At 44.0% G+C, this 12,763-nt stretch overlaps 1 protein-coding gene across 23 annotated transcripts in view; it reads right to left on the minus strand.

The window, feature by feature from the left end:
* The window catches only part of MEGF11 (multiple EGF like domains 11), a 358,452-nt gene that overhangs the window by 187,063 nt on the left and 158,626 nt on the right, over positions 1-12,763 (minus strand). For all 23 annotated transcript variants that reach the window (NR_169555.1, NR_169554.1, NR_169558.1 and 20 more), the window contains one exon: positions 12,041-12,133. Coding sequence is in view for 18 of the 23 variants with exons in the window: in NM_001385030.1 (NP_001371959.1) it covers positions 12,041-12,133 (93 nt within the window). In the remaining 5 variants the exon portion in view is untranslated. The remainder of the gene's footprint in view (positions 1-12,040; positions 12,134-12,763) is intronic.

Genomic DNA, 12,763 nt, shown 5'->3' on the forward strand with positions numbered 1-12,763 from the left:
CAGATCACCCGAGGTGAGGAGTTTGAGACCAGCCTGGCCAACATGGTAAAACCCCATCTCTACTAAAAAAAAAAAAAAAAAAAAAAAAAAAAAAAAAAAAAAAAAATCTATCTATCTATCTATCTATCTATCTATCTATCTATCTATCTATCTATAAATAAATTAGCCAGGTGTGGTGGTGTGTACCTGTAGTCCCAGCTACTGGGGAAGCTGAAGAAGAATTGCTTGAACCCAGGAGGCAGAGGTTGCAGTGAGCCAAGATCGTGCCACTGTATTCTGTATTCCAGCAAGATGGAGCAAGACTCTGTCTCAAAAAAAAAAAAAAAAAAGGGCGGTGCGGAGGGACTGTTTACGTGAAGCATTTGCACACAGCGGGAGCACAAATCACCATCACCTTCCTCCTCCAAATCGTGGCCCCTCATCATGCTTCTTTCTTCCCGCCTCCCTCCACCTCTCATTCATTCATTCTCCTTACTCCCTTGCTGGGAGGAGCCCTAAAGTTTTGGCAGTGGCCCTTCCTAGCTGACACATGTGGTGGGCCACACACACCCCCATCTGGCCCTGCCTATCTCCTTTTGGGACCCCTCACCTGTCCCAGGCCAGGGGCAGGGACCCAGGCCCCCATCCTATACCTCTGCTTTGCCCCCTATGTCCTGGGCTACCAGGCTGTGGTGTTGCCATTTTCATGAGAGTGTGTCCAGGGGCGCCTGAGACAGAGACACTCCCTGATGTACTTTCCAAATCAGGCAGTTGGTTGGGTTGACATCCCTGGAAATCCCCAATCCCAGTGCTGGCCTGACCTGTAGTCATAGGTTTTGGGGCTATACCACCAGGCCTCCCCAGGAGCACAATCATTTCTGGTATGAAGGTAGAGATCATCTTTTTGGTTTTTCAATAAATGCCAATTGTACATTTCATTCTATTATAAATCTGTATTTGTTTTAACTTAAGGAAATGTTTAAATTATCAGGTAACTAATGTGCCATTTACATGGTAAAAACTTTAAACTTTGTAGCTTCGAGAGTCTCTAGCAAAAGTCTTTTCAATAAATAGTATTGGGGAAACTGGATATGCACATGCAAAAAAATGAAATGGAATCTTTATAAAAAATTCACTCAAAATGGATCAAAGACCTAAATGTAGGAGCATACCTATAAAACTCAGAAGAAACCACAGGGGTAAAGCGTCATGACATTGAATTTGGCAATGATTTCTTGCATATTACACTAAAAGCACGGGCAATGAAAGAAAAAATAGTTAAATTGGACTTCATAAAAAAAAAAAACTTTTATATATCAAAAGACATGATCAATAGGCTGAGGTGGGGGCATTGCTTGAGGCCAGGAGTTTGAGAACAGCCTGGGCAACATAGTGAGATCCTGTATTTACGAAAAAAATTTAAAAAATTAGCCCAGCATGGCGACACATGCCTGTAGTCCCAGCTACTCAGGAGCCTGAAGCCACAGGATTGCTTGAGCCTGGGAGATCAAGGCTGAAGTGAGCTATGATTGTGCCACTGCCCTCCAGTCGGGTGACAAAGTGAGTTCTTATCTCTAAAAAATTAAAATAATTTTTAAAAATGACACTATCAACAGAGTAAAAAGGGAACTCAGAGAACAGGAGAAAATATCTGCAAATCACATATGGTCATGTGTTGCTTAACCATAGGGATATGCTCTGAGAAATGCATTGGTAGGTGACTTTGTTGTTGTGCAAACATCATAGAGTGTACTTGCACAAACCTAGATGGTATAGCCTACCACACACCTAGGCTACACCATCTAGGTTTGACTACCATCGTATATGCGGTCAGTCACCGACACAAACATCATTATGTGGTGCATGACGGTATCTAATAAGTGGTTAATATCCAGAATATATAAAGAATGCCTATAACTCAACACAAAACAATCTGATTAAAAAAATGGGCAAAGGGTTAGGGGATCATGGCAGATGGGAGGCAGGACTAGATTGCAGCCCCGGACAATGCGGCGGCTTGCAGTGTGAATTTTAGCTCCAGATCAACTGCAAGAACAAGCCAGCAATCCCGAGAGGAACCACAGACCCTCTGAAGGAAGCAGACTGCTCCTGCAGGACCCAGGAGACACCCCAAATACTGTGAGTGCCCCAAGTGTGGAAGTGGGAAAGGGAGACCCTCCTCTCCCGAACACACCCCCCCACTGGAGAGGCTGAAGTCTGTTTGTGGGAGAAGTTTCTGACTTTACCAGGAGCTGAATCAAGTTAGAGAGCCGAGTAAAATACAGGGGTAGAGGAAGCAGCAGAAAGGCTTAGTGGTCCCCAGGCAGCCCATTCCTGCCTGGCACCACAGGGATCCATCAGGAGGGTGGCCAGAGGAGCAGGAGGTAAAACTCCACAGAGAGAAGGAATTCTCTAGCAGAAATTTGTAACAACTTGAACGGGGCGAGAAGCCTCCTGGCCATAACTTGGGGGAGGGCACGAATCTGCTGTGGAGACCTCACAAGCAAGGGAAGAACTAAAGCCCATTTCTTTTGCAGCTGGAAGGCAGATAGCCTTGGGCAAGTTTTCAAGCCCATTTTGCCCTACACCTGGAAACAGACTCCGGGCTGTTGCGCGAAGGTGGCGGGGGAAGGGGGGACGGGGTGCAGCACGGTGGGAGTGAGGCTGGCCCTTTGATTTGCATGGGAGCTGGGTGAGGCCTCTGACTGCTGGCTTTCCCCCACTTCCCTGACAACCTGCACGACTCAGCAGAGGCAGCCATAATCCTCCTAGGTACACAACTCCATTAACCTGGGAACCTCGCTCCCATCCCCCACAGTAGCCGCAGCGAGATCTGCCCAAGAAGAGTCTGAGCTCAGACATGCCTATGCCCACCCCCAGCTGATGGTCCTTCCCTATCCATCCTGGTAGCAGAAGACAAAGGGCATATAATTTTGGGAGTTCTACAGCCCCACCCACTACCGGTCCCTCTCCACATTACTATAGCTGATGCTTTCTGGAAAGCGCCACCTCCTGGCAAGAGGCCAACCAGCACAAAAAAAGAGCATTAAACCACCAAAGCTAAGGACCCTCATGGAGTCCATTGCACCCTCTGCCACCTCCACCAGAACAGGCACTGGTATCCACGGCTGAGAGACCATAGACAGTTTACATCACAGGACTCTGTGCAGACAACCCCCAGTACCAACCCGGAGCTGGGTAGACTTACCAGGTAGCTAGACCCAGATGAGAGACAACAGTCACTGCAATTTGGCTTACAGGAAGCCACATCCATAGGAAAAGGGGGAGAGTACTACATCAAGGGAATACCCCATGGGACAAAAGAATCTGAACAACAGCCTTCAGTCCTAGACCTTCCCTCTGACAGAGCCTACCCAAATGAGAAGGAACCAGAAAACCAACCCTGGTAATATGACAAAACAAGGCTCTTCAACACCCCTAAAAAATCACACTAGTTCACCAGCAATGGATCCAAACCAAGAAATCCCTGATTTACATGAAAAAGAATTCAGGAGGTTATTAAGCTAATCAGGGAGGGACCAGAGAAAGGTGAAGCCCAATGCAAGGAAATCCAAAAAATGATACAAGAAGTGAAGGGAGAAATAGTCAAGGAAATAAATAAAGAAAACACAATAAAAAATTCAGGAAACTTTGAGCACACTTTTAGAAATGCAAAATGCTCTGGAAAGTCTCAGCAGAATTGGAAAAGTAGAAGAAAGAAATTCAGAGCTCGAAGACAAGGTCTTTGAATTAACCCAATCCAACAAAGACAAAGAAAAAAAAAGAAAATATGAACAAAGCCTCCAAGAAGTCTGGGATTATATTAAAAGATCAAACCTAAGAATAATCAGTGTTCCTGAGGAAGAAGAGAATTCTAAAAGCCTGGAAAATATATTTGGGGGAATTATCAACAAAAACTTCCCTGGCCTTGTGAGAGACCTAGACATCCAAGTACAAGAAGCACAAAGAACACCTGGGAAATTCATCGCAAAAAGATCTTCACCTGGGCAAATTGTCATCAGGTTTTCCAAAGTTAAGACTAAGGAAAGAATCTTAAGGGCTGTGAGACAGAAGCACCAGGTAACCTATAAAGGAAAACCTATCAGATTAATGGCAGATTTCTCAGCAGAAACCCTATAAGCTAGAAGGGATTGGGGACCCATCTTCAGCCTCCTCAGACAAAACAATTATCAGTCAAGAATTTTGTATCCAGCAAAACTAAGCATCATATGTGAAGGAAAGATACGGTCGTTTTCAGACAAACAAATGCTGAGAGAATTCGCCATTACCAAGCCACCACTACAAGAACTGCTAAAAGGAGCTCTAAATCTTAAAACAAATCCTGGAAACACATCAAAACAGAATCTCTTTAAAGTATAAATCACACAGGACCTATAAAACAAAAATACAAGTTAAAAAGCAAAAACAAAAACAAAATCAAAGTACACAGGCAATAAAGAACAGGATGAATGCAACGGTACCTCACATTTCAATACTAACATTGAATGTAATTGGCCTAAATGCTCCACTTAAAAAATACAGAACTGCAGAATGGATAAGAACTCACCAACCATCTGTTGCCTTCAGGAGACTCATCTAACACCTAAGGACTCACATAAACTTAAAGGGGTGGGAAAAGGCATTTCATGCAACTGGACACCAAAAGCGAGCAGGGGTAGCCATTCTTATATTACACAAAACAAACTTTAAAACAACAGCAGTTAAGAGAGACAAAGAGGGATATTATACAATGGTAAAAGGCCTTGTCCAACAGGAAAATATCACAATCCTAAACATATATGCACCTAACACTGGAGCTCCCAAATTTATAAAACAATTACTAATAGACATAAGAAATGAGATAGACGGCAACACAATAATAGTGGGGGACTTCAATACTCCACTGACAGCACTAGACAGGTCATCAAGACAGAAAGTCAACAAAAAAACCATGGATTTAAACTACTTCCCAGAACAAATGGACTTAACAGGTATATACAGAACATTTCATCCAACGACCACAGAATACACATTCTATTCAACAGCACATGGAACTTTCTCCAAGAGAGACCATATGATAGGCCATAAAATGAGCCTCAATTAATTTAAGAAAATTGAAATTACATCAAGCACTCTCTCAGACCACAGTGGAATAAAACTGGAAATCAACTCCAAAAGGAACCTTCAAAACCATGTAAATACATGGACATTAAATAACCTGCTCCTGAATGAGCATTGGGTCAAAAATGAAATCAAGATGGAAATTAAAAAATTCTTCGAATGACAATAATGACACAACCTATCAAAACCTCTGGGATACAGCAAAGGCAGTGCTAAGAGGAAAGTTCATAGCCCTAAACGCCTTCATCAAAAAGTCTGAAAGAACACAAATAGATAACCTAAGGTCACACCTCAAGGAACTAGAGAAATAAGAACAAACCAAATCCAAAACCAGCAGAAGAAAGGAAATAGCCAAGATCAGAGCATAACTAAATGAAATTGAGACAACAACAACAACAATACCAACAATAAATGAAAGAAAAAGCTGGTTCTTTGAAAAGATAAATAAAACTGACAGACCATTAGCCAGATTAACCAAGAAAAGAAGAGAGAAAATCCAAATAACCTCACAAAGAAACGCAACAGGAGATATTACAACTGACGCCACAGAAATACAAAAGAACATTGAAGGCTACTATGAACCCACCTTTATGCACATAAACTACAAAACCTAGAAGCGACGGATAAATTCCTGGAAAATTACAACCCTTCCAGTTTAAATCAGGAAGAATTAGATACCCTGAACAGACAAATAACAAGCAGTGACATTGAAATGATAATTTAAAAATTACCAACAAAAAAAAGTCCAGGAGCAGACAGAGTCACAGCTGAATTCTACTAGACACTCAAAGAAGAATTGGTACCAATCCTTTTGACACTGTTCCACAAGATAAAGAAGGAACTCTTCCTAATTCATTCTAAAGCCAGCATCACCCTAATACCAAAACCAGGAAAGGACATAACCAAATGAGGGGGCTGGGCGCAATGGCTCACGCCTGTAATCCCAGCACTTTGGGAGGCTGAGTGGATCCCTTCAGGTCAGGAGTTCAAGGTCAGCTTGGCCAACATGGTGAAACCCCGTCTCTACTAAAAATAGAAAAAGTAGCTGGGCGTGGTGGCATGCACCTGCAATCCCAGCTACTACTCAGAAGGCTGAAGCAGGAGAATCACTTGAACCTGGGAGGCGGAGGGTGCAGTGAACCGAGATTGCACCACTGCACCCCAGCCTGGGCGACAGAGCAAGACTTCATTCTCAAAAAAAAAAAAAGGAAATTCCGACACATGCTATGGCACAGATGAACCTTGAGGACATTATGCTAAGTGAAATCAGCCAGTCAGAAAGGGACAAATACTGTATGATTCCAATTATATGAAGCACAGAGTAGTCAAATTCATAGAGACAGAAAGCAGATTGTTGGTTGCCAAGGGCCAGGGAAGGGGGCAACGGGGAGTTAGTGTTCAGTGAGGACAGAGTTTCAGTTGGGGAAGATGAAAAAGTTCTGAAGATGGATGATGGTGATGTTTGCACAACAATGTGAATGTACCAATGTTACCAAATTGCACATTTAAAAATGTTAAAATGAGTAATTTTATGTTATGTATCTTTTACCAGGACTTTTTAAAGAAAGAATTTGTAGCCAACACTTAGTTTGAGAAGCACTGACCTTAAGGGTCCCGAGCTAGTTTAGGAGCATAGGCATATTTCTGAGCTGGTTAACATTCTATTTTAATCTGCAGATAGCTTAAAGCCAAGTCGGCCTGGGGTCCCACACACCATTCAAGATAAGAACACGCTGGACTTGGCAGAAGCTACAGCTGGTGATGGGCCAGCTTGGTTCCAGCTGCCTTCATCACTCAGGCCTCTCTGTAGTCCTGCCTTGTGCCCAGTGTCTGGGGAGTAGGGGAGCAATTCTGCAAAAGAGCAGGACAGTGTGTACCGGGCTTTGACTTATCCTGCACTTTGTCCTAAGTGCGTGGATAACACCAGTTTGGTGGAATACATGATAACGTGGAAAATAATGGGAAACGGAAGAGCAGCCTTCTCCCTCATCTCTACCCCAGGCCTTCTGGAGGGCAGGCTCAGGCCCAAAACCAAAATGCCATTCTGTAGCCTGGAACCCAAAATGCAAAGCACCCTGGGATGGGAGGCAGAGAAATGGGACCCAGGAAATACAATAATTAAATCATACAATGAAAGCTTAAATTTCCAAGTTAATTCTTGGGCATCGTTTATAAAAGTTAACAGGGCATATTTAATTTAGGAATTGGCTCACGTCCTTCTCCGTACAGCTGAAATCTCATAAATGAAGTATACTGGATCATTTCCCAGTGCGGAAATAAAAGTTATGAATAATGTTTCTATCTCAATCATTGTCAGTGCTTTAATATTCCTAATTACTTTAAAAAGCTAGATATTCAATATAGGAAAACTTTCTTCCTTTTTATCTCCACTTGTGAGATTAGTGCAATTTAATAAGAGTCACTCTGTCGTCTTTATTCAGTATAAATTGACATTTCATTCTTTTACTCTTCATTGTTATATGGGATGGAGGTTTATGACCAGGCATGCAGCCACTCCATTTCCCCATAGTGGTCCATCTAACAGCCCAGAATTATCTGATAGTTGGTGTGTCAGCCCACCAGGCAAATCAGCATCATCTCTCTTCCTTTATGGAGCAGAAAGAAATTAGTCCAGGCCTTAAAAAATTTCAGCTAGGGGCTTATAAGTCAGTAAAAGAATGAGAAGTCCCCACCCAACCCCGGTACTACATTTATCCCCTTCACTGCTGTCAAAGTCATAAATCCATTGGCAGCCACAAAGGGCAGGGCAGGGCAGGGTAGGGGCAGGGAGTTGGATGATGGATCTTCAAAACCCTCCCTGCCACTTCCAGGAATTTATCCTAAGAAGAAATTGGGACAAGTGGGCAAAGACATATGCATAAGAAGAATCACTACAGCATTTTTACACAGGGCCACAATCCAAAAATCCCTAAAAAGTCCAAAACATGTTTTAAAAAATTCAGCACCAAAATCCATTTAGAGGCAAAATCTGCATGAAACCGATTTGAGGTTATATATTGCCTTTATGTCACTAGATGTGATCAGTCATATGTCACTTCAGAAATATCACTGTTTCACCCAGGGTGCTGCCCAGACCCCCATGGGGGCATATGTCACACACAACATACTCACCACATGCTTTCTAAACTCTGAAAAATTCTAAATTCTGAAGCCAGCAGGCCCCACGAATCTTGGAAAAAGGACGGTGGGCCTATGACAGTGAAGAATCAGAAACAACCTCAATGTCCATCAACAAGGGACTAGTTAAATGCATGTGGTAATCCATAGAATGAAATTCTGTAAGGCCATTACAAATCTAGAGGAGATTCACGTTTATTAACAAGAAAATGAGTGCATGACATAAAGTTAAATTTAAACAGCAAGTTATAGACTAGCTCATATATTTGATCTAAATAATAAAAGTTATATCCAGATCTAGCCCAATGTGCAAATGTATAGAGGAATGGCAGGAAGGATAAGCACCCAAATGCCAGCAGTGGTTATCTCTGGGGTGGAGAGTTAACCTTTTTTGTCTAACTTTTGCTACAGTTTGATTTTTCTTTTTAACATGAACAGGTATAACTTAAGAACCAGAGAGAAAAAAACAAACAAGAATGATGCTTTCAATTAAACAAAACCAAAGCTTCTCTGAAAGGGTGTCACACATATAGACCCCACTCAGTGATCTCCAGAGACCACACTGAAGAGGGACCAAGATACTTGTCTCCACAGATTTGGGCCCACAAAGACCCTAAGGCACTGCAGAGAGCACACTGGCAGATAGACCCCCAAATAGCATGTAGCAAGCAGGCTCAAATTACTTGAGGAAAGCTGGTAACAATTTGCGTCCCATGGCCGACTCCTCTATCTCCACAGCAATATCTCAGGGCCACATCTTTTAAGCAGAGCTCACTTTTCCCTATGAACAACCATGTTTTCTCATGACAGATCAATTTCAACCTTGGACTATATTAACAGAGGTTGAGCATCCAGAAGGAGGTAGAGTTATAAGTTACAATTGTATAAATAATTAAGAGTTCAGGTTCAGGACATAGGTTTTTGCTTGGGTGATAGTCCCAGACTTACCATCAACTAACTGTGTCTGCTGGAAGTTCTTTAACCTCTCTCTGCTTCAACTTGCTCCTTTGTAAAATGGGGATAAATAACAATTCCCATACTATAAGTTTGTTGTGAAAATTAAACAAGTGGATAAGTAAATAAAGCACTCAGTGCATAGTAAAATTCAATATATAGTAGCTATCTCCACTATCATTTTTCCATACTGGTCACACCAAGCTCGCAGTTGTGTGGCCAGATCTAGGAGTGAGCATTTAAGAGGAATAAAGGCCACGGCCAACGGAGAGAAACCAGATGGGAAAGGTAGTCCCGATGACATCAGGTGAGAAGCAAGGGAGCTTGGAGAAGAAACACTTGGGGAGGAAAATGATCACTATCTTCTAATACCTGACCCATTGGAGGGTCTCTGGTTTCTTCTGTGCAGCCTCAATGGCTATTATCAACTGCTCTGAGATGATCATTTCTATACACACAGACTGTGGTCTTATCCAATGAGGTCCTTGGAAGAAATTCCAGGGACAAGGAGCATCATGGTCATCCATCACCCTGCCCTGGACTTTATTATGAGCAAGAACCAATCAGTAGAAGCTAAAAGGTAGATTTCCACTGCAGAGAAGGGAAAACTTTCCAACAATGAGAATGGGCTTCCGAAAGAGGTAGTGAGCTCCTTGTCAGTGGAGGTATTCAAGCAAAGGTTGGAAAGCTCTTAGCAGAGCATCTAAACATTCAGTGCTCTGAATGACACTGAAGGTGAGAATCTATGAATTGCTTTAATTCAATGCTGCTGTCCCTCAAACAGGGTTGGAACCCCTTTTAGAACTTCCCATGGGTTCAATAGCACATGCCTTTGAGTAGATCCAAAAGTCATGGCTCTTCAACCAATGAGGGTGGATTTAATTGAGAGCAAAGAGCTTTTGGGTTGCTTAGCACCAAGTCTGGTGACTGAATGGGAGGAGTTAAATCAGACAGCCTAGTTCTGTGCTATAAAGTAACAAGTCTGTTTCCCTGCTTGCTTGGTAAATTCACTCTGGGGGGCAAGTCATACTCTAAACTGCCTAGTCCTGTTCATCAAATGCCACCTTTGTTCCATCTCTTTCATTAGGCCAGAAACCCTGAAAAGACACAGACCATGTCTAAAAAACCCTCCAGGGCCCTCCCCACGGCCCAGCACAGTCCCGAGCATAGAGCGAGCACTAAACACAGTTGCACTCACTGGTGGTTTCTATATACTCAGGGCCCCGGGGGACCCAGGCTGTATTTCAACCTCCAATAGGCTGCCTTCAGCATTATAATCCAGCAGCAGCAGGCAGACCCATCCCAGCAGGGCTGACCTAATCCAAGTCAGATATTCCTTCCTCAAAGATTCCTTGTAAGCCAAGTTACGCAAAACAAAACACAGATAAGGGCGGGGGAAGCCCAGACATTTTACCCAGTGTGTTTTGCAGCTCAAGTCCACAGAAAGACTGGTTGGACATCTTCCTTTATTTAGCTCACCTGTGCCTCAGTTTACCTTTCATTGTCTGGCCCTGTTTCCCAGTCATGGCTCACTCAAAGCAGTAGGACAAGTGGAAGGAGGAGGCCACTGTGGTCACTGGAGGTCCTAACACATTAGGGGGTTTCTTGGATACCTCAAACAGATCATGGACTCCCTGAGCTAAGATAATCACCCAGGCTCAAAACAAAGCCACATACTGGCTTTGGCCAGAATGTTCTCATGCACTGCATAGACAGAGAGGCTCCAGTCAAGGCCTTTGGGAAAACAAACAAAAAAACATAACTAGATATTTCCACTGCAGCAGAGAGAGGGGAAAAGGACAATAGCACTACACTGGGCCAACATGGACCCAACATTCTCCTAAGTTTTCATGACTATGGTAGTCAGGTATGGGATGGGGAACATGGAGGTGGCTCCCCAAGATGGGCGAATAATCGGGCTTAGATCCCTAGTGGAGCCGCTTGGCTATGTTATCCACTCAGGTCACCATAAAGAGACTCTACTCCAACTCAAAGCAGGAGGAAATTTGGGCTTCAACCTTAGTCAAGTCCTCTTTGAAAATCAAACAAGACCATGATATTAACCAACCCTTGACTGCATAATGTGCCAAGTCATCTGCAAATATTTGGGGGCAATAAACCAGAGGGGAAGGAGGATTCATCTTCATCTGGGTTCTTGGCAGAGAATTCCCTGAACTGCTGCCAGGTATGCCTTACCCTCTTGGTGGCCAGCCCCACAGTAGAGACAATGCACCATGCCACTGTGGGTCACTGGGCCAGCCTGGAGAGCATCCACCTCACCCCAGGCTCAGTAGGAAGGCTTCCCTGGAGAAGGTGAACCATCCACCCACAAAAATGTAGGAACACAAGGACCTGCCCCTGCGAGTGTCCTGTTCTAATTTTGGGGACACAGAGACATCCCAAATGTCCACCAGTCTCACAAATCACTTCCTCTGAGCCTCTGTGGGCACCCACAAAACTGAGCTTTTGGACCAGTGAACCTGGGGACCAGGGCTAGACGACGGCGACCTCCTCAGTGTGTACTCCTGGGCACTGTGTCAATTTCACATCAACCATCAAAGACCATATCTAGAGGTGTTCCATCAAAAGTCAGAGTTGTCCAGATGATCCCACAATTCCCTACACATACAACACACAATGCCCTCACAGGCCCCCATAAATCACCATCCCTCAAGTGCCACCATGTTTTAACTGTAGGTATACCTCCTCCCTGATGTTCACACAGGCCCAGGTAGCCCACCCCAAGTCGCCCCAGCACAACACAAAAATGTAGCATGCACACACCACAACCCACTCCCCTACCAAGTCAGAGCCAGGGTGCCTCCTGACCCCCAAACCCCAGACTCACCGCTGGAGCAGTCGGGCCCTCCCCAGCCAGGCTCGCAGTGGCAGGTGTCCGGGGAAACGCAGCGGCCGTGCACACACTCCTCCGTACACAGGGCTGAGGGGACATGGGGAGAGGGAGGAAGAACCAGAACAAACAGTGAAAACCAACCATCTGGTCAAGGAGCATAATCCATTTTGTCACAACTCCCTGGTGCCCAGGGATGCTTAGAACGCATGACTGGCTTGGGGGGGAAAATCAAGCTACACCTGACCTGAGTTATTTAATTAACTCCAGAATGGATCCTACAAGAGTACATTTCATCCCAGCTCATTTCTTAAAATGAAACCCAAGCTGGAGAAGCGGTAACTCCGTTGGCTTTTTGAGAACATTTCCTGCAACGTTTAACAACAGAGACCGCCGCAAACCTCAGCTCCTAAATCCACACCCCTGCTCTCTTTCCCCATCTGCTTAGGAAATGATCTGTCCCTTGTATCTTCTGCTTTCCCTAGTATCCTTCTGAAAAGGCCCCAAAATGTATCAGCCTGCCTGAAAAGAAGGTCCCTTCTCACTTTTCCCCCCACCTTTCTGCCCTCCTCCCCAAATGTCCCTATTTTGGGGCTCTCAAATGTCAGCAAATCTGCAAAGTACACACATGCAGAGGAAAAAAGCAACAGCTAATTATAAGAAAGTAATTAAGAGAGACATCCACGATGATGATAATTGTAATTAGAAAGTGCCTGGCAA

The sequence above is a fragment of the Homo sapiens genome, chromosome 15 (genome assembly GCF_000001405.40).
Source record: "Homo sapiens chromosome 15, GRCh38.p14 Primary Assembly".
Taxonomy (NCBI): Eukaryota; Metazoa; Chordata; class Mammalia; order Primates; family Hominidae; genus Homo; species Homo sapiens.